Source organism: Homo sapiens, chromosome 5 (assembly GCF_000001405.40).
Source record: "Homo sapiens chromosome 5, GRCh38.p14 Primary Assembly".
In the NCBI taxonomy this organism is placed as follows: domain Eukaryota; kingdom Metazoa; phylum Chordata; class Mammalia; order Primates; family Hominidae; genus Homo; species Homo sapiens.
In genome coordinates, this window is record NC_000005.10 from 92,471,669 (window position 1) to 92,495,523 (window position 23,855).

At 33.7% G+C, this 23,855-nt stretch overlaps 1 long non-coding RNA gene across 2 annotated transcripts in view; it reads left to right on the forward strand.

Annotated features, from left to right (window-relative positions):
• The window catches only part of LOC105379080 (uncharacterized), a 166,831-nt gene extending 147,544 nt beyond the window's left edge, over positions 1 to 19,287 (forward strand). For both annotated transcript variants that reach the window (XR_001742806.2, XR_007058867.1), the window contains one exon: positions 15,090 to 19,287. This is a non-coding gene — a long non-coding RNA (uncharacterized LOC105379080). The remainder of the gene's footprint in view (positions 1 to 15,089) is intronic.
• Positions 19,288 to 23,855: the final 4,568 nt, after the last annotated feature.

The following is a 23,855-nucleotide window of genomic DNA, read 5'->3' on the forward strand; positions in this document are numbered from 1 at the left end:
CTTTTAAGAGCGCTAACATTAAAGTTCTAGGACTTAGGGGTGGTAGGAGAGATGACATCCAGTTGGGGAAATCAGGAGAGGCCTCCTGGAAATGGGCTTGAAAAGATGTTGACAGGTACAGGTATTTACAAGTGGTGGGAACAGGGTTATTTGTGCTAAACTCAGTCTTCATAACTTAAACTTCATAAATGTAGATAAAACATGCCTTTACATAAATCTCTAAAGCAAAGATACTCTTGAGATTAATAGTTTACGAGTATAAAAAAGACCCATACAAAGAGCTGTTTTATTGCCTAGATTTACATTACTATGCTCATTAGGTAATCTCTATACATACCGAGTTGTCTGGAAACTATGATTCACTCTCATCTTTGTTTTTCATGGGATTAGAAAAACTTTAGGGTCATTTTGAATGCATAATATCATTCTATCTCCATAACTATAGCCTCCTTATAATGCAAGATATATTTCTGTAAGTGACTGAAACAAATATACTTTTCCAGTTCAGAAAAAATTATATATTTCCATGTGGTATTATTTACATTAGGCCTTTTGCAGCCTTAGGCACTTTAATTGTATGCCTTGCCATTGTGTCTTCTTTGTTTCTCCTGGACTTTATTTTCCAGATACAACTCCCCATTATCATTACCAACAGGATACAACCAAAACTCCTTAGCAATGCCTTTGAGATCATATATTTCTTGGAAGATTATATCTTGCACTTATCACCAGCATCATCTTTAATTATATCACTCAGTCCTCAATATTACTCTTTCAACTATGATCATCTATTTGCAGTTTCCCATATAAAATGTTTCCTTTATCTGCACTTGGTGCATGATCACCTCTTTCACTAGCTTATCCCTCAATATTAAGGTCAATTAGGTGTCACCTTTTCTTAGACTACATTCTCCCACTCCCCTTTTGTGTTAAGCATCTCTTTCATTTTAACAACTTAAAATTTTATAATTGGTTTATTGTCTGTGTTCTCTCTACTAGACTTTACATTCCTTGAAGGGACAACGTATTGTTCACTTTGTGTTCTTGGAATGAGCATTGTGTCTAGCGCAAGTCAAAGCTTAATAAACAGTGGTAAAATAAGTAATTACATTAAGTAATTTGAATGAATAAGCTACACAGAATAAAAGTAAACTTAATTTTATGTAATAATGTGTATTATACATTAACTTATTGTTTCAGTATTTCTTTTTATGTCTTAGTTCTGCATCTTGTCACTCCAATTTCACTTTATAGCAAAAATTCTCAGAAGATAGCCATGGTTTTGGATGTAGTTTGTTCCCCTCAAAACTCATGTTGTAATTAGATCCCCAATGCAGCAGTGTTGGGAAATATGGGAGCCAAGTGAGAGGCATTTTGATCATGTGGGTGAACCCAGTATGAATAGATTAATGACCCATGGCTGTGAGTAAATTCTTCTTCTCACGGGAATAGATTAGTTCCCATAAGGGTAGGTTGTTAGAAGAGTTGCTTTCCTTGGTTTCTCTCTTGCTTCCTCTCTTACTATGTGATCTCTTTGCATGCACCTGTATTCTCCTTTCACTTTCACCATAAACTTCTCAGTCTGCAAAATTGTAAGCTAAACAAACCTCTTTTATTTGTAAATTACCCAGTCTCAGATGTCCTGTTATAGCAACACTAAATGGAATAAGACAGAAAATTAGTACCAGAAGTGGGGTGTTGCTATACAGATACCTGAAAAGTAGGAGCAGCTTTGGAAGTGGGCAATAAGCAGTGGTTGAAAGAATTTAGAGGAGCAAACTAGAAAAAGTCTGCATTGCCATAAATGGAACATTAAGGGTGTTCTAATGAGGGCTCAGAAGAAGATAAAAAGACAAGGAAAAGTTCAGAACTTCTTACAGATTGACTAAATTGTCATAACCAAAATTTTTATAGAAATACATGTAGTAAGGCCATTCTAATGAGGGATTTGATGGAAATGAGGAAGAGGATGTTGCGAACTAGAGAAAAGGCCATTCTTGTTACACTATAGCAAAGAATTTGCCTGCATGTGTCTATGCCTTAGGGCTTTATGGAATGTAAAACTTAAGAGTGATTTTCTAGTATATCTGACAGGAGAAATTTCTAAGCAGCAAAATGCTCAAGAAGCTACATGGTCACCTTTAATATCTTATGCTAAGTTATGGCAACAAAAGGATGACCTAAAAGCATAATTTATAACTAAAGGGGAAGCAGAGCATAAGGAATTGGAAAATTCATAACCTGGCCATGTGGTAGAAAATAAAAGGGCATTTTCAAGAAAGGAATCCAAGGGTTTGGCTGAGAGACCACTTGCTAAAAAGATTAGCACGGCAAAAAGGAAGCCAAGTTCTTATAGTTAAAATAATGGGAAAAAGCCTTAAAGGCATTTCAGAAATCTTTGAGATTTTCTCTCCTTTTGCAGGCCTAGCAGCCTAGGAAGGCAGCATGGTTTGCAGGGACAGGCCCAGAGTGCTGCTACTCACCCTATCCTGATCAGTAGCTGCAGCAGCCATAGCTCAAGCAGCCCCAGGTGTGGCTCATGCTGCTGCTACAGAGAACACAGGAAGTAAGCCTTGATGGCTTCCATGTGCGGTATTAACTTTACAAGCCCACAGAATGCAAAAGCTGTGGAGGTGTGAATTCCTCCATCCAGATTTCAAAAAAATGTATGGAAAAGCCTGTAGGCCCAGGCAGAGACTTGTTGCAGGGGTGGAACCATTTCAGAAAGCCCTTAATGAGCAATGCCAAGTGGAAATGTGGGGCAGAGCTGCCAGAGAGCCTCCACCGGGACAATGGCCAATGAACACAGAGGAAAAACCATTACTGGGACCCTAGAATTGTAGAGTCACTGCAGCATGCAAACTCAGCATGTAAAGGCAGCTGGCATTGAACTTCAACCCATGAGAGCAGCCATGAGAACTATGCCCAGCAAAGCTATGGGGGCAGAGCTGCCTGTGGCCTTGGGAGCCCATCCTTGGCATCAGTGTACATAGCGTGTGGAACATGAAATCAAAAGAGATTATTCTATAAGTTTAAGATTTAACATTCTGCCTGCTTGGTAAAGGACTTGCTTGAAGCCTATAACTTCTTTCTTTTTTGGCCTATTCCTTCCTTTTGGAATAGAAATGCCTATCCTATGTATGTTCCATATTGTAACATGGAAGGAAATAAACTATATATATATATATATATATATATATATATATATAGGCTCATAGCTGGACTTTAGACATTTAACTTGATATTGAAACAAGTTAAGACTTTTGGAACTATTGGGATTGAAATGATAGTATTTTGTATGTGAAAGGACATGAGTTTTGAGGGGACCAGAGACAGAATGCTATGGTTTGCATGTGGTTTGTCTCACCAAAACTCATGTTGAAATTTGATCCACAATGTGGCAGTATTGGGAAGTGGGGCCTAATGAAAGATGATTGATCTTGGGGGTGGATTCCTCACAAATAGATTAATGTCTTCTCTTGGAGGTATGCAAATTAGTGATCTCACAGGAATGGATTAGTTCTTGAAAGAGTGGGTTGTTTAAAAAAAAGTCTGAAAACTCTGGCTTCTTTGGTTTGTCTCTCTTGCTTCCTTTCTTGCCACATGATCTCTTTGCATGTATCCGTCTTGTACCCATCTTCATCTTCTGCTTTCTGCCATGAGTTGAAGCAGCATGCCCTTAAACTTTCCAGCCTCTGGAACTGTGAGTTAATTAACCTCTTTTCTTTATAAATTGCCAAGTCTCAAGTATTATGTTATGGCAGCATTAAATGGACTAAGATAGTTTAGAATTTAATTATATTGTAAATGTTGTTCATGCTCAAATAGTTTCCAAGAATATAGTAAAATATCTTTTTAAAGTTAAAACAGGGGTAAGGTGAAAGAAATTTAAGTATTCCATTTTTAAAAATTTAAAGCATCAAGTTGACTTCAATATTCTGATATCATCCTTAACTTTATAAAAGATCTAAAAAATTGGTCTTTAAACCTTAGATTTTTTCATTACATAAATTTAGCAGAGATATTTTCAAATGTGTAGATATAGTATCTATATGTACAGAAAGTATGTAAATGTATGTAAATATATATACATACATACATGCATACATACAGAGAAACGAGAAGAGGAGAAAAGGAGAGGAGAAGAGAGGAGAGGAAAAGCTTTCTGCAATGAGTAGACAGAAAGGGGAAAAAGAGATGGACTGATAAAACTATAAAGATGCTTATATTTTCAGTGAATTAGAAGAGCTTTTAATACTAGCAGTATTTGGGCCTTGAGGAAATCCCTCTGTGGGTTTCTGATAGAAAACAATAGATAATAGGATTTACTTCCACAAGGGAAGCACAGGGTAGCCATCTTGATCTTCCATTTCACACAGGCTTTGTAATTGTGTGTTGCTCTTGAGGAGTTTGATTTTATTTTAAAATTGCATTTCAGCGATGCAAAAAAAAAAATCTAAAATGGTAAAGAAGAGAACTTTGTTAAGCTTTCACCAAATAGTTTCTCTTGCCCTCATTATTTTGCAAGTGACTAAATCTTAAGGTTAGGGAGGTTTTCCAATTAGGAAACCTAATGAAAGAATGCATATCCCCGAGGATCTTGGGGTAAATATGTTGATATGCTAATTACATGCATAGATGATAGTGATATCAATGAGAAATTCAAGAAAACTTGTATTGTTTTATCTGTGAATATATAGAACTTTAATAATTAAATTGGATTACGTAAGAATGATCATCTATAGGGACTAACACTAGGACACTTCAGCTGCTGAATGTTGCTGACATTGTACTTGTTGGATGCTTTGGGTGTTCATGTTGCTTTGATGAAATAGTCAGATATCATTGATGTCTATCTGGACCATCATTTCTAAGCACTTAATATTGCCATTGTATTGTTTCAAACACATCGTTGGTATACCCCTAAAAATTCCTTCTAGCCATTTTGTTATCCTTTCTCAGCTTTAATAACCATGTGTTTTCCCTCATTATTATATAATCCCTCAAATTCTTGAGTACAGAGTACTGGGCCTACAAGTGTATGCTAAATGTAAGAGGTTCAACTTTCTGCTTGTAGTCTGGAGGATACATTGCTGCCTACACTAAAAAGGCCTCAGCTATTACTTTAAGTACATGTGGCTTATTAATACATTGTGGGTCTGACAGCACCCCCCTTTTTTTTTTTGCCTTTTACCTGTGCAGTTACAGCACCTGAGAAACATTAAAAGAGCAAAGGAATGTACCATAGATTTATTACAGTGATCTATCCTTCCTTTGGCATCCCCCTGACCCCACATACTGTTAAATTGTTCTCTCCTTATAAAATAATAAAATTTAAGCTAATCTCTAAATTTATGAATTCTATTTTATCTAGGGCTATACAGTGCATAAACTGAATATTTCTAATCTACTTAAAGTATATATGTCATTTTCAGGACACGTTTTATATGAAATATCATATATATATATATATATAAAATTCACTTTAGCCAGCACAGTTCTTAGCAGTAATAGGTACTGGACTCAAAAAAGACTTATTGTTTGCCTGGCATTTTGATCAAAGTACAAAAGTGTATTGATTTATATTGTACTTATTTTGCAAGTAGTGCTGTGCAAATAGTAACATACCTTATTGTTATAAGAATCCTATGAGTTATGTTCTATTAACTCCACTTTATAGGTTTGGAACTGAGGTTTAGAAGAGTTAAGTAACTTACCCAAGGTCACACTGCTTAAGGAGAAGAATAAGGATTAAAAGTCAGGCTGTCTAGCTCCAGACGCCATGCTCTTAACCATTAAAATATGCGCCACATATATTCCCATACTAGGTGATATATCTCATGTATTATTAACATTATAGTCTCTTCCTTTAACATCTTTAATATTGATGATGGTTACTTGATTTGCATTACAAATTTTAACCATACTGAAAAATAAGGCGAGTTTCCAAAGAAATTAACTAACTTTCACAAGATTACTTTACTAAATGAAACTAGTGTTTTGAAACAAATCCCAGATTTTTCACCTTGCGTTGTATGACCTTCTGAGGTAGCACTGATCGCATTTGCAATTGGCATTCTCTAGGCCCTATGCTGAAGGATTTTGATATTACAGTGCAAATGACACCTAAATCACTTTAGAAACAAAACAATCTCAATAACTAGGCATTCCTTAGGCCAAATGTGTAGGCCAAGCAGTGAAACTAGTGTAGTAAAGCTTTAATTTGATCAGAAAAGCATAAGGTCCTTAAAATGGCACCAATGACTTGTATTTGAGCTTTTATATTTATATAAAAATGGGAAGTAAGGCCTTGGACATTCTCAGGCAGGTGAGCAGAGGAAACTGACTTCTATTTAAACTGTACCCTCAATCAAATGAAGAAAATATATGTTTTTCCTTAATAATGCTTTAAGATGAAAGAATATTTTATCTAATAATGTCATATCGACACCAATATTATTTTGGCCAGTATTGGGACACTATGAGTTTTTTTATTCCTTTACCTTCAAATTTTCTGTCAATATATTTTAGTTACCCTCTCATATACAGCATATGACTGTTGTAGGCAGAATAATGGCTCCAAATATTTCTATATTCTAATCTCCAAAACCTATGAATGTACTACCATACCTGGCAAAACAATATACGGTTGAGATTATGGATCTTGAGATAGGATGATTAATATGTATTATCAGGTTAGGTCCAAGTTAAACACACAATTTCTTAAAAGCAGAGAAACTTTCCTGGCTGTGGCCAGAGAGTGGTATAGAGTGGTAGAAGAAGGATCAGAGAGATGCAACATGAGAAGGACTTAACTCACCATTTTTGACTTTTGAGATGAATGAATGGGCCATAAGCCAAGGAATATTGAAAGCCTCTATAAGCCAGAAAAGGCAAGAAAATAACTTCACCTCTGGAGCCTCCAAAAGAAACAAGGCTGTATGATGAGCCATGCGACTCGTGTTAGCCTTATGACCTGTAGGATTATAAGCTAATAAATTTGTATTGTCTTAAGACACTATGTTTGTGGTAATTCATTATAGCAGTAATGGGAAACCAACATGATTGCTGTTTATTGTGTATTTTATATCTCATCTGAGAAGTTCAATTTTTAAAAATTGGAATATTAAATGTATTCACACATATTGTAGAAACTGATTTGCTCAAATTTATTTTTAGAAAACAGATTCTGATCTTCATCTACCAGTTAAATTATTTGCTTATTTGTTTTTGTAATTTTGTTTTCTTTCCCTGACTTCAGCTAAGTAAGTCTTTATTAGTAATTAAATTAAATTAAATGTACATGGATTAAACTGTCCAGTCAAAAAGCAGAGATTGACAGCATGAAGTTTTTAAATATGATTGAACTATATGATGTCCACAAGCAACTCACTTTCAATCCAAGACACAAACAGGTTGAAACCAAAAGGATGGAAAAAAATGTTGGATGCAAATGGTAGCCATAAGAGAGTTTGAGTGACTATATTAAAATCAGACAAGATATATTTTAACGTAAAACCTGTTACAGGAAACAAAGAAGGACATTATAATTGGCCCTCAAACAACACTGGAGATGGAGGAATTAATCCTTATACAGTTGTAAATTTAAATATAACTTTTGACTCCCCAGTAATTAAACTACTACAGCCTACTGTTGGTAACACTTACTTTATATGTTAACTTATTCTATGTTGCTTTCTTACAATACAGTATGCTAGAGAAAAGAATGTTATAAGAAACTCATAAGAAGGAGAAAATATATTTGCTCTTCATTAAGTTGAAGTGGATCATCATAAATGTCTTCATCCTCACTGTCTTCACATTGGGTAGGCTGAAGAGAAGAAAGAGGAGGGGTTGATCTTGCTGTCTCAGTTGTGACAGAGGCAAAAAAAAATGTGTAAGTGTATCTGTGCAGTTCAAACCTCTGTTGCGTAAGGGTAAAATACATATACTGATAAAAAAGTCAATTCATCAAAAAGATACAAAAGCTGCAAACATATGTACCAAACAAGACCTCAAAATAAATGAAACAAAAATTAATAGAATCGAAGACTGAAACAGACAGTCTACACTAATATTTGGAGACTTGAATACATCACTCTTAATAATGGAAAACTGTAGACAGGAAATCAATAAGAAAATAGAGTACTTGAACAACATGATAAACCAACAAGACATAGCAGACACATATACAGTACTCCAACTAGCAATAGTAGGGCATGATTTTTCCTCAAGTGTACATGTAACACTCTCCAGAAATGACAATACATTAGACCACAAAATGAATCTTAATAAATTTAAAAACACTAAACTCATGGAAAGTATTTTCTTTGATCACAAAATAGCAGTGAAATCAAAAGATATTTTTTTGAAAAGGTACAAAATACTGACAAACATCTAACTAGACCAACAAAACCAGATAGAAGATGATAATAACTAAAATCAGAAATGAAAGTGGTGACATTACTACTGATCTTAGAGAAACAAAAGGAGTTATAATAGAATACTATGAACAACTATATGCCAAAAAGTTAGGTAACCAAGATAAAATACACAGATTCCTAGGAATACACAAATTACCTAAACTAACTCAAGAAAAAGCAGGAAATCTTAACAGATCTAGAACGAGCAAAGTGATTGAATCAGTAATCAAAAAACTCTCAACAAAGAAAAGCCCAGGACCAGATAACTTCTCTGGTACGTTATATCTAGCATTTAAAGAAGAATTAATAGCAATTCTTCTCAAACTCTTCCAGTAAATGGAAGAGGAGAAAACACTTCCTAACTCATTCTGTGAGGCCAGCATTACCCTGATACTAAAACCACATAAAGACAACAGAAGAAAAAAATTTACCAAAAAAAAATCCTTATTAATATAGACACAAAAATTCTCAATAAAATACTAGCAATTCAATTTCAAAAGCATGCTAAAAGAATTATAAACCAGGACTAAGTGAGATTTATTCAAGAATGGAAGACTAGATCAACATATGACAATCAATTAATTTAATACAGCACATTAATAGGACAAGAAAACATATGATCATTTTAATTGATGCAAAAAAGTCATGTAAGAAATTCAACACCATGTTGTGATAAACAAAAAACACTCCATAAACTAGGAATAGAAGACACCATCTCAACATTATACAGGGCATTTATGAAAAATCCACAGATAACATGACACTTAATGCTGAAAGAATAAGGGCTTTCCCTTTTAGGTCAAGAACAAGACAAGGATGCCTATTTTCTCCACTGCTATTCAGTATTGCTCTAGAGATTCTAGTCAGAATGATTTAGTCAAGAAAAATACATAGTCACACACTGAAAAGGAAGAAGTTAAGCTATTTCTGTTCACATATGATATTATCCTATAGAAAGGAGGAATGAAAAAAAATCAAGAAATACCCTAAAACTAATAAATAAATTTAGCAAAGTTACAGGTTTCAAGACCAAGACACAAAAATCAGTTGTGTGTCTATATGTTACCAAAAAGCAGTCCAAAAGGAAAATTAAGAAAGAAATCTCATTTAGAATAATATCTAAAAGATTAAAATACACAGAAATAAATTTATCCAAAGAGATGAAAGACATGTACACAGAAAACTTCACAAACATTAGTAAAAAAAATTAAAGAAGACATAACAAAAGGGAAGACATCCATGTTCTATGATTGGAAAATATGTTCTATGATTGGATGTTATTAGGATATTGATACAACCCAAAAAGTCTCCTGACTTTAATGTAAATTCTATTAAAATTCTAGTCACATTAATAGAATGAATAGTGGGTGAGTTCTCACCAGATCTGATAGTTTCATAAGGGGGTTCCCCCTTTGCTTAGCACTCATTATCTCTCTTGCTGCCCTGTGAAGAGGTGCCTTCTGCCATGATTCTAAGTTTCCTGAGGCCTCTCCAACTCTGCGGAACTGTGAGTAAATTACATCTCTTTTCTTTATAAATTACACAGTTTCAAGCAGTTCTTTACAGCAGCGTGAGAATGGACTAACACACAATTCTAATATTTGTATGGATCCATGAAAGACATCATATAGCTAAAGCAACCTTGGGCATAAAGTACAAAGCTGGAAACATCATACTTCCTGATTACAAAATTATATTATTGATACAAAACTATAGTTATTGAAACAGTGTTGAAAATGGCATAAAAACACATAAACAAATGGAACAAGATAGAAAGCCCAGAAATATACCCACACATATAAAGTCAACTAATCTTTGTTAAAGGTGCCAGGAATGCACAATGACGGAAGGACATTGTCTTTAATAAATGACCTTGGGAAAGCTGGCTATTCACATGAAAAACACTAAGATTGGACTCTTATTGTATTCCTTATCCTACACACAAAAATCAACTCAAAATGGACTGAAGTTTTAAACATAAATTCTGATACTGTAAAACTTCTGGAAGAAAATACGGGGGAAAGGTCCTTGACACTGCTCTTGGCAATAATTTTTTTAGTGTAACACCAAAAGCACAGACAATAAAAGCAGAAATAAACAGAATTACATCAAACTGAAGTTTTGGCACAGCAAGAGAAACAATAAACAATTTGAAAAGGCAACCCACAGAATGAGAGAAAATATTTGCAAACCACGTCTATAAAAAGGGATTAATATACAAAATATATTAAAAATAACAATAGCAAAAAACAACCTTATTAAAAACTGAGCAAAACCCTAAATAGACATTTTTTCCAGTGAAAACATACAAATGGCCAACAGGTATATGGAAAGGTGCTCAAAATCACTAATCATCAGAGAAATGCAAATTGAAACCATAATGAGATATCACCTCATTCCTGTTATAATGGCTATTTTCAAAAGTCAAAAAACAATTGTTGGCAAGGAGCTAGAGAAAAGAGAACTCTGTACACTATTGATGGGATTATAATTTAGTAAAGTCATTATAGAAAACAGTATGGCGGTTTCTCAAAATATTAAAAATAGAACTATCTTATGATCCAGTAATTTTACATCTCAGTATGTATTCAGAGAAAACGAAACCAGTTTCTTGAAGAGATATCTGCACACTCATGTTCATTGCAGCATTATTCACAATAACCAAAATATAGAAACAATCTGTTTGTTGACAGATGAATGAGAAAAGATAATGTGGTGTGTTTCTGTGTGTGTGTGTAATTATATAAATTACACTATTGTTCCATTGTGTGTGTATACACATGCGTGTGCACACACACACGCAGGAACATTGTTTAGCCTTTAAAAAAAGAAATTCTGTCACTTGTAACAATATGGCTGAACCTGGAAGACATTATGCTAAGTGAAATAAGTTAGGTGCAGAAAGACAAATACTGCCTGATCTAAATATCGGATCTTAAATAGTAAATCTTAAATAGTAAAACTCATAGAAACAGAGTAGAAGGTTGGTTACCAGGGATAAAGGGGTTGGGGCAATGAAGAGATGTTAGTCAAAGGGTACCAGCTTTTAGTTATTAAATGAATAAGTTCCAGAGATCTAACATACAGCATGGTAACTACAGTTAATCATAATGTACAGTATACTTGAAATTTGTTAAGAAATACATCTAAGTACTTCTTAAGTATTTACATCATACCAAAAATGTAACTATGTGAGGTGATAAATGTGTTAATTAGCTTGGTTGTATTTATCATTTCACAGTGTATACGTGTATCAAAATATCACATTGTATTCCTCGAATATGTATGATTTTTGTCAATTACACTTTCATAAAGCTGAAAAAATGATAACAGCCTTCTTTGCAGAAATAGAAAATCCTATCCTCAAATTTATATAAAGTATCAAGGTACACCAAATAGACAAAAGAGTTTTATGAAAGAACAAAGTTGAGGGACTTGTACTTCCCAGTTTCAAAATTTACTATAAAACTACAGAAATCAAAACATCGAGGTACTGGCATAAGGCAAAACATGCAAACCAATAGACTAGAATTGAGAGTTCATAAATAAACCATTAATCTACAGCCAATTTATTTTTGACAAAGATACTAAGCCTATTCGATAAGTAAAGAATAGTCTCTGACAGTTGGTGCAAGCACAACTGGATTTCCACATGCAAAAGAAAAAAGTTGGACTCCTACCTCATAGTATATACAAAATTAACTCAATATGGATCAGTTACCTAAACATAAGAGCTGAAAAACATAAAGCTGTTAGAGAAAATCACATAGGCAAATGTTCATGATCCTGGATTTGGCAACAAATTCTTAGGTATGACACCAAAAGGATGAGCAACAAAGATGCATGAGCAAAAGCATGAGCAACAAGAAATGTGACGTATACACACAGTGGAATATTATTTAGCCATAAAAAATGAAGTTCATAATGCATGCTGCAATATAGATGAACATTGAAAACATTATGCTAAATGAAATAGGCCAGAAACAAAAGGATAATTATAATATGATTCTTCTTACATAAATTATATAAAATAGGCAAATTCATAGACACACAGAAAGTAGATGAGAAGTTAGCATGGGTTGGGAGTAAAGAAGAAAGAGAAGGTGTTGAGTAATGGGTACAGAGTTTCTGTTTGGGGTGATGAAAGATTTGGAGACAGACAGTGGCAACAGTTGCACAAATTGAATCAATTTAGTGTTACTGAATTGCATACTTAATATAATTAAAATACAAATTTTTGTTGTATATATTTTACCACAATAAAATATGTAAGGTAATATCATTTAAAATATGCTTATATACCTATAAAACAAATCTTAATGACTAGAGAAGAAACTTCTAGGAAGTGAGCCAGAAGTAATTAGGGTGTCAAGTGGATGTATATTTTTGCTTTCTGATTTTTTAACTATTTGAATTTTTATAAAGAAAATGCTACTTTTTTAATTTAAGAACAAACTAGACTATTTCATAATTTTGTGAATCATGACATGGATTATTTAATGGTCTCATACCATAAATTTAATGATAAAAATATGGAGTTAAAAGTATAAATAAAATTTGTAAAGATTGATTGCAGCTTAACTTGACATTTTTGTGATGACATCATAGATAATGGGTGTCCTCTATTTTCTACAAAAGTATATTTCCTAGTTTTATTGTACTTTTCTATTTACTAATACATGTTCTTTATTGTATTCAGCATGTATTCATTCATCTCATGCTGACTGAGTACTAACTTAAGGCCAACTTTTGTACTGGCAACTTTCTCATCTGGTCACTCATTAAGTAGAAAGAGTTGGATATATACTTAAAGCTAGATTTTTTACCCAACATCAGTAGACTCTTCCATTCCTTTGCCATTTATTGGCTATATTTTTATTTTGTCTCAGTCTCTACTAAGGTAGACAGATTCAAATGCTACTAATTTTACTGAAGTATTAGAATTGAACCATTTGGTCAGAAACATTCACTATGAATGTTAGATAAAACTTACATCTTCAAAATTATATTCGGAATGACAAGATAACTTGATATTAACTTGAAATGATTTGCAACATTCTCTATGAAACTCAAGGCATACTGTTCAGGAGATAGTAAATCTCTCTGTCTTAGTCCATTTTCTGCTGCTATAACAAATACCACAGCAGTGATAATTTATAAAGAAAAGAGATTTATTTGGCTTACATATCTGGAGGCTGGGAAGTTCAAGAGAATGAATCCAGCACCTGCCAAGGGCCTCACCCCATGATGGAAGGGCAAGCCAGGGCATGAGACAGAGAGAGAAATGGGGTCAAATATATCCTTTTATCAAGAGCCCACTCTGGTGATAATAGCATTCATCCATTCATGAAGGCTGAGCTCTCATGAACTAATCACCTCTTAAGACCCCACTCCCAATACTGGTAAAATGGCAATTCAATCTCAATGTAAGTTTTGGTGGGAATATTGAAACTATAGCACTGCCCTTTAAAATAGGTCTTGTACTGGTTTTTAATACAGAGATTAAGTAAGTCACCATCAATACTTACACATACAGAATAGAGTTTGGGGAAAAATGATTTCTACTTTAGTTTTCCATTCACAGAATAAACTCTATCACTAGAGTTAGGATGCTTTTAAAATAAAAAAAAAAAAGGAGTATTAATTCTAGAAAGAACACTACAAAGAATGTTTTTTCAAATGAAGAAGTGAAAACTTCAAGAGGGCAAGGACTGGCTCCTTGTGGTGGGACTTGAACAGCTGCCTCCTGAAGGCTAAATTAGGACTCTAAGGCTCAATGTAGGAATGTAGGAACCATGCTAATATTCCAGCCTTTTCTTATTTCTATTCCATCCCTGTGAACATGTTGCCCACAAAGTAGGAAAGACACAGTAAATCTGAGGCAGGAATATCACAAAAGAAATCTACAATTTGGTATTTTTTTTTTTACAGGGAAAAATCTTCATACACAGATCTCTTCTGAACCATGGAATGTGCATTCAAAGGAACATTAACATTTTTTGCCTTTTAGACCATCCTTCCATACCATGCTATGTAATTTCTAACAAAGGCCATGTTTGCATCAAGTATCTCCTCTGTTTTCTTATGGGCAACTTGATTACTGGATTCAGGTTGCTCTAGTTTTCCTTACTAGTAAGGACAAAATTACATATAGTGTGCAAGAGAACACTTATTAGAATGTTAATATAAATAATTTCAATTCAAACAATGCTAAGTTATTTCTTTAGCTCTTTTTCAAATAGTTACAGAAAAGACCAGAGAAGCAGGTCTTGACACATTGCGCTGACTTCATACAATCACACGGCATGCATCTGGGTGCTGGTTTTAAAATGAACAGCCTCCTTGTGACAGCTAAATGCCAAGGTTGTGGTTTTGAAAACATAAAGCCATTATTATTTTATTCTTTATCCCTTTCCACACCATTATATCTTCTGCTTCTCCTGCCCAATTTACAAGAATCTCGACTTCGAAAGACACAGTACAACAACAACAATGGCCTTAACTAGCATCCATTTACATTATTTATATTTTATAAGGCAAAAATTAACTGGCATGGTAGTCAAGGTTATTGTGTATGAATATAAAAAAAGAATAAACCGGCACAACCTGATTTTTTAAAATCTGTGGCTATTTCTAATAATATTCTGTGTAGTTTTTTTTTTTCAGGTGAAGACTAAAGCACCAACTGAGGAGAAAAGATTTTCAGTGTCAGTGAAGTTAAAACATGTCAGCGGCAGTTGCTTCTGTGAATATTGTCTCACATGAAAGGAAGGATGGATTGAATTCATATCTGAAACAAGACAAGATTTTCCATCTGACCTCATTATGTGTTTCTCTGGAGTGCATCCCTGGGTTTCTGCCTGAACTGAAATGTGTTGTGGGGAAACCAAATATAAAACAGCTCAGTACTGCCATAACTGACGTGTCTTAATAAGATGGGGTATTTATTGTTTTGCCACAGTCCTCTCTTAACTCTAAAAGTCATTATGATGTGCTAGATCCCTTTGTTAAAGCAATTCCCATAAGTGAAGGCATGTACTAATGAAAAGGTTTATGCTACATGGCTGGAAACAAGGATGAAGTAGCATTACTGTGTATAACAGAGATTCATATTGAGAAATATTTATGGAAAGATTTTTAGAGACTTGACTGTTGTATTCTTATAAATAATTAAATGTACAAATCATCATTGTTACAATACAGCCAGTTTCCTTTTCTGTGAGCACTGGTGATCGATTCAAAAATATATTGATTTAAGGAAATTTATAGCATTTTTCATTGCTCCTAGTAATACTAGAAAATTTTTCACAGGTCAGAAATAATAGAAAACTTTCCCCTAGATTAACCTTGTGCCACACAGACAGATTTTCTTTATTCTAATGTATCATAAGGAAAGGCATAATGTCTTTCAGTTTTATTTGTACAATGGCTTATATGTCTTTATGAGCATATATATTTGCATCTATCATACTAATTGATAAAGAAATATGTCATTGTCTGCATTACTATATGTGTATAAATGTTTTTATATATGTACATACACACACTATGATTCTATTTTTCAAAATATAGTGAAGGTAAGGAAAATATTAGTTAGAACTCCAACACCTACCACCACTAAAATATGTTTTAATAACCTTTGAGCTATTCTGTAAACTAAATTACCATTATACCTAAGAATAAATCAATGGCAATATACTATTCAAAAAGTTAATCGCATAGATCTCTGTATGTATACATGTAAATTTATATATAATGTAGATATAGTGAGATGCATTATTTTGTTGAAATTAGTGTCACTCTTCTGTGTTTATTTATACTAAATAATTTGAAAAACATTTTAGATTTTTAGTTGCTATAGTAACACACCATTAGACCATTTTTCCAATGTTGTATATTTTATAAAACAGTAAGTACGAAACTATAGATGTGATAAATAAGCTAACATAGACAAGTTTTCAGGTTTCAACACAATCCTTTGGTTGATATGTTCAGCATGGACTCTAAACATTTCTGGCACACAATGAACCTTTTAAATTTGCCACCTGAGGAGAACTATTCTTTTGGAAATTGAAATGCTGTGTAATCTGTGACACTTTTACTTTATAAAAAATAACTTTTTTATTCAAATAGCAAAGAATTATGAAATATGTACTGCATTCTTAGCATTTTGCCTAAAGCTAGGGATGCAGAGATTACGGGGAGGTCCCTACATTCAAGAGGCCACCTATCAACTACAGAGCTCACTTCCTAATATTAAACTGTTGTGAGCAACCAAATTAAAAATGTACATACATGATAGTTCACCTTCTAAGAAGTGGAGCTTAATGTTACCTCCTTTGAAGTATGAGTAATTCCCAAATAATAGGGTAGGGAAAGGAGTTTTTTATTAGTAGGGAAACCTGATAAACCTACATTTACCAAGTGATGAAGGTTAATCTTATCAGTCATGTTAATGTAAATATCATTTTCTGCCGCTATAATGTGATGAGAAGAAATTTTCACCTCTCTGGTATTCTTTCCAAAAATTTATATCCTGACTAATCTGAGAAAAAAAAAATTAGACCAACCCAGATTGGGTGACGATTCTACAGGATACCTAGCCAGTAATCCTCAAGACTGTCAAGGTTATAAAAAACAAAGAAAGCCTAAGAATCTTTCACAGGCCATTGGAGCTTGGGAAGCCAAGATAACCCAGTGCAAGGTAGTACCCCAAATTAGACATGGAACATAAAGAGAACATTAAGGACTAACTGGTGAAATGCAAACAAAGTCTGGAGTTCAGTTGAAAAATAAAACAATTTATATATAACTTTAAAGTCTAACAATTAGGTCTGTTACATTAGAAAAGATAAACTGTAGTTTTATCAAACAGCAGATCAACTAAAAACTATCCAGTTGTCAAGAATGAAGGAAATTTAGCACTCCAATAGCCAGGCTAATGTCACATAAGTATTGTGTCACAGATCACAACATGTGAACCTACAATTAAGGATCTTGAAACATCTTTGGCCAGTGGTTTGCAAACTCTTTTTCGCAGAGCACTAGGAGCGTCTCAGACAGCAGTATGGATGAGTGAGAAGACATGACATTAGCCATGCACCTATCCCCAATTTAACATAATATTTTATTTCACAAGAAGAATCCATGGCTTAGAAAAAATACAAGAAAATCAGTATGAAAAAATCAGTAACCTAGAGAGGTGCTTATTAAACGTCAACGGGTATACACATCACAGAAGATCTTTAAAGGCCAATATTGATTCAGTAGTTCTGGGGTGGAGCCTGAAATTCTGCATTTATGATGAGTAATGTCTACCCTAGGAGATGAAGATGTTGCTCGTCAGAGAAAAACACTGTAAGTAGGAAGGATCTAGCTCAAATGTTAAACTCTTCTCATGTCAGTACGTTTCATAGAGGAAAGTTTGCTGTTATGTTTAATGGGTTTTATGACTTCAATAGCAACACATCAAAATCCTTCTCAGTTAGTGAGTTGGAAAAAATTATGAAAACTGAGTTTTTTAAACTACACTTCTATCCATACCTCATCCTTCAGTCCCCTTAATCTAACTCGTATTTATTATAACAACCTCCAGAACCAGACCTTACTCAGCCACGTCCTCTATCTAGACTATCCTCTCATCATGTCATTCTATAACCAGCCATTTCATCAATGAATTTGGACCCAACTGAGATGTTCTTCTACCAATTATACTTTATCATACTCCATGTCAAGCCGAGCATCAGGTAGTATGCACTATCAATTACATCTTTCCAGGAAAAGGGAAGAAAATTGATGTTTTGGTTTTGTAAAAACCTATGCTTTTGTATTTCATCTGGGCTCTTACCTGCCTACTCACATTTTAAAAATGTACTTCATATTGACCCTTAGTACATTTTCCACAGGATTGTTCCAAGCTTTCTGCTCTCTCAGAGGTCATATTTTATTCCAAAACATTTATCACTTGATCTTATTTTCTGCTTCTCAAGATTGAGATTCTGGAACTCAAAATATCTTTCCCCCATCCTGATATTGCCTCAAACTACTGCACATCACAAGTAAGATAGCTGCTTTTAGAAGTATTTGGGAGCTTCTTCAATTTCAGATTGTTCTCATAGGTTTTCTGAGCTTCTAACTAATTATTTGTATCTCCCTTGCTACCTTTAAAAAAAGTTACTGTAAAAGTAATTTGTAAACTTGTGTTTGAAATCAGAGGTCTAACTCTCTGGTTTTAAGTCTTAGTGCTACTATTTTCTAGCTTTATGATTTTGAGCAAGTTTGCTTCACTTTATGAGCTCTAATATTTTTATCTCAAAAACAATGATAATAATGACCATTATGTCACATTTCTGCTTTATGAACTGAATGAGATAATATATGCAAAATGTCTAGACCTGTGCCTGTCAGTAATGTTAGATAAATTGTCAGTTATTACTATTACATATCTGCAGTCATTCTTTTGGATAGCTTGTCTGATCTCATTTTATCTTTATATAATCTTTACCTGTATTTCCAACCCAGTTTCTTGATATCACATTATCTTGCTTTATAACTCAGTTTCTAGATGACAACTGGAACCGGATAATTCTTTGTTGTGGGGAGCTGTCCTGTGCATTGTGAAATGTTTGGCAATATTTCTAGCCTTTATCCCCCAGATGCCAGTAGCAACCCCCAGTTGCGACAATGAAAACTGTCTCCAAATATCACCTAATGTCCTCTGAGGTCCAAAAGCACCCCTGGTTGAGAACCATCCTTCTAATCTTTTTTAAGGATATGCTTATATGGATGCCTCTTTGATGCCTCAACATATGGGCAAAGGTAAATGTATCATATTCTCAATAAATACGTTTTGTATACTGTTTTATCTACTTTCCTAAGTAGTCATAATGGAAAACACATAGTAATCTTGACTTTCCTTGCTCTTGCTTTCTACAATTAGTCTAGTAAATTGTGTTGAATATGCAATCCCAATTTTCTCACCATTTATCCCTTGTGCATTCTCACTGACATTACCAGAATCAGTTCCTCATTCTTTCAACAGAGTTTTGCTGACATTCACTCAATCATAGACACACTCCAGTGACAATAAGACAGAGTCATCATGGGCCTTATATTTTAGTGGGGGAAATAGGTAATCAACAAGTAAACAGATTAATAAATTGTATATTTTTGAGTAGTGATATATGCATGAAGAAAATAAAGCAGAGTAAGGGGATAGAAGATGAATAAAAGATGGCATTTTAATTAGTGTATTGGTAAAGATGTCTTAGGCAAGGCAAAATTCCAGCTCCTTTCTGTGAAGAACCTAACCATGCAAAGATCTGGGAATGGCAGGGGGCAGGCATAACAGCTTTAAGTTGGTAATATACTTAGCACTTATGAGAAAGAGCAGTGAGGTTATAGTATTGAAGGTTACTCAACATGTGGGTGTTTGTCTAGGTTACATTTAAAGGGAAAGTGGAACCAGGTATAGATACACAAATAAAAATCCTAGATGTCACCAAAAATGTAATGAGCATGAGACGGATCTAAAGTGATAAAATTTTAGCAAGTCACTTGATTTCTCTGATTTTCATATTTTTAATTACCTTGATTTTAGCTGACTCTAAAACTTAATTATGCATTGTGTTGGGATTGTGTATAAAATATAAATTTTAACCAAATGTATTCATGTATTCTATAAAAATTCACCATTTATGAAAGTTATGTTCAAGTTCTAGATTCAAAGGAGGCAATGTTCATGTTAGCTTTATAAAACTGAGGAACATCTGTACATAAATATATATCTCAAGATATTTCAAAAGCATTTGAAAGACATATTTTCATATAATTATGACAGCATTAGAATTATCCATTAAAAACATGTGAATTTTAGTCTAATGCTCTTAAAATTCACTTAAAAAACTCTATGAGACCAGAGAAGTAATTTCAACATAACAATTACACATGGCAGTTACGTTGTATAAGTGATTTAACATGTAACATACTTTTAAAAATTAACATAGTCCAAAAAATTAGCTCCAAATGTTAGCAGTGCCCCAAACAACAACTAAAATTAAGGGTGTGTCAATGCTTTGCCTTCAAATATTATTTTTTGCCCCCTCCAACCTCTGCTTGCTCCTACTTTAAGAGTTTATTACTCAAATGCTAACACTGCCTATGGGCAAATACATACATATATATATATATATATATATACACATATATATATATATAGTTGTTGTTGTTTTAAAGTTGCTTAGGATACATTTTGTTTGATCTTTTTTGTTTGTATATCTGTTTGTTTTGTGCTGTTTGTTATGTTACCTTTGATTATTAGACTTGGAACATAATCTGGGAGTTATGTGTGCTCAATTTCTATAGATCCTGGAGTGAACTAAGAACAGAGTGGCAGACTTAATTTAGAAATCTCCTATTTTTTTGATACTTAAGTCAAATCCTTAGCTCTATTCTAACACAGAGTTTTATATTTACAGATGCCCTCATTAACCCTTTTGCTGTCAAGACAGATACCTTCTGGTTCTATTAGTCCCCACCAGACTAAATTACTTGCATCAGGTCTCTATTACGCCTCCACTTGAGCTAGCACTGTGTAGCAAAACAACACTGGTAGGGAGTGAATGGTTATCAAGAGAAAGTTTACTTTCAGTGTTAAGAATTAATTTAGCTGAATTGGTGCAGTGAAAGGGGTAAACACAATCCCCTCACTGTTGTTTGTCAGGGTGTGTTATATCACCCAGGATTGCTATGTCAATAATCTGCCTGGCCTGCAAGCTAAAAATCTAAGATTGCTTGGATGACTGACAGGCTGGAGATAGCTGATAATTCTAAGGAATTGGAGGTGTAAAATCTTTAAGGACCACGTCTACAGTATAAATGCCAGGGTATCTCCACATCACTCTGTACTTACAAAGGCAACAGCATTGTTAATGGCAGCCTGTCTGTCCATCAAGTTTGCTACCAGCGGATTTATCCCTCTTTCACTCCTTATCTTTCTTTGCTGTGTTTATTTCGAAACCAGCTGCAGAATAAATTGCCTCTTGTCTTCACCTCCTACACTGAGTACAATGATATGTTCTGTAAAGCTTAAAATCATGGTGTTTTTCAAGCACTCCTTTTTTCAGAACACTGACTTCTAATTTTGTTTGTTTATGAATATGTATTATTTATCTTGTGGGGGCTTTTACAATACTAAAAATGACTCTTATTTACTTGGTGAATGCTCAGGATCTAGATAAAGATATGTGTGTGATATTTCACAGAGAAAAAATAAATAGAAGTAATTAATATAATCATTTTGTTATTGTTTTGAATAATTAATTAGATCTGATCTGTTTTAATCAAATAGTTAAAATTAAAAGGCAGCCAATTTCAGAGCAAATAGCACACTTCTATTAATTGACTTCAGGAATTTAGTGAAGTTTAAATATCTCTCCTTTATGCACATCTGCCCAGTTTCACTTTTCTAATTTATGACCAAAGGAAAGAAGACAATTGTAGCTCAGCAGACTTAAGGATCAAGATTAGAGTTTATGAAAAATGTCCAAGTTCTGCAGCAACCCAAACCCTCCCACACTGCTAGCAGGTGTACAATTTGAGACAACCACTTTGGAAAACCCGTGGCTAAACCTACTAAAGATGATTATACACAAACTTTATGAACCAACAACTCCTCTCCCAAAGATACACAGGTATGCATTCTCCAAAAGACATAAAAGAACCTAAACAACTAGTTGTAAAAGGCAAGAAAAGTGCCCATAAAATACGAACAACTGCATGTATGCATACTATTTTTAATATAGATAAAATAAAACAACTAAGCATTGATCAACACTAGAATGGATAAATTGTATTATACATTCATCCAATGGAGTACCATATCACAATGAAAATGAAGAAATTGCAGCTATACATGTTACATAGACGAATCTCACAAACATAATGTTGAGCCAAAGAAGCCAAACATATACATTGAATGATTCTGTTTACATAAAATTCAGACCCATATCTACCTAATCAGAACAGAGGTGATTCTTGGGGTGATTTGGGCATGAAGAGAGCCCTGGGATTCTGGCACTGCTTTATGTCTTCATATGGGTGCCAGTCACATGTTGGGTTTGTTTATTTGCTGGGTTAATCAATATGTGCACTTATTATTTGTGAACTTTTCTGCATCTATGTTAGCACTTCAAAAAAAAAAAACCTTTAACATTAGAAAAGCATCCAAGTTTTCAGGCAGTGCTTGCAACTACATACTAAATTATAATTCTTTCTAGATGATATTTATTGGTTATTTGCAGAGGGAGATGAAAGTAAGAAAAAAGAGAGCAACAGATAATCTGGGAAAGGTGTACATACGCCAGATTGATCTGAGTAATAAAGAGTTCTCTGAAGATTAATCCATGCATTTTTAACACGGACACACGCATATACTTGTGTATATATATTTAAATGAGCATTGTGGCTTCCTATATTGGTGAGTAATGAAGGCAAATATTTGTCAATCATTTTGTAGCATAAAAAGTTCCTGAATTATGCTAAGTATTTGAACAGAAATATTCATTTTTGTTTGGACTGGATGTGAATGCAATATCAGAAATACCATTTATTCATTCACAAAATATGTGGAGCACATACACATCTGAGTTGAGCATTGTGCTTGGGCCAAGGATGTGGAAGTAAGAGGCAGAGTCCTTGCCTTTATGTGGAACACAATGACCGCGTTTTCTCCAAAAGACCTATGAACTGCTTAACACCAATCAATATTTTAAATGTCATCTCGGTAGGTTCTATTGCTTACAGCACCTGACTCAAAAAGTTGGCCAATGGTTTATTTCCATTTCTAAAACATAACCCTCAGGAGGCAATATTTGGCTATGATATATTTTAAATTGACTTTCTTCCTCTCTCTTGAGCTCCCTCCTCTCCCATTACTTTCTCCCTTTCTTGCCTTTTTCTCTTCAACCATTAAAAAATATCAAAGAATATATTTGCTAATTTTAATTCATTTTATACCTGTGACAGTAATTAAACAAGGAAATTCATTACTATCATTACCATTATACTTTTACCATTACCGTTGCTTTGATATAAAATAAATGAATAGTTAGAATAGAAATCTATTATGAAAATTATCTTTTATGTGAAAAAAAGATTTTATTCCTCACAATTATGTTATGTTAAATTGTCAGGGTAACTGAAAGGTGAAGTTTCTAGAGTCTAAAATTTGATTTAATTTCAATTTAATATTTTGTTATAAAAACAAACTGGTACCATTTTAAATCTCTGTTGTTTTGAATATTTCAGTAACTATTTTTTAATGTGGAAATGTTTTAAGAGTATTAATTTTTTATATTTTCTCTTGAGCAAACTTCCTTTTTGGTTGAGCTATATTTATAACAATGTAAAGTTAAATTTCCCTATAGCTCTTTC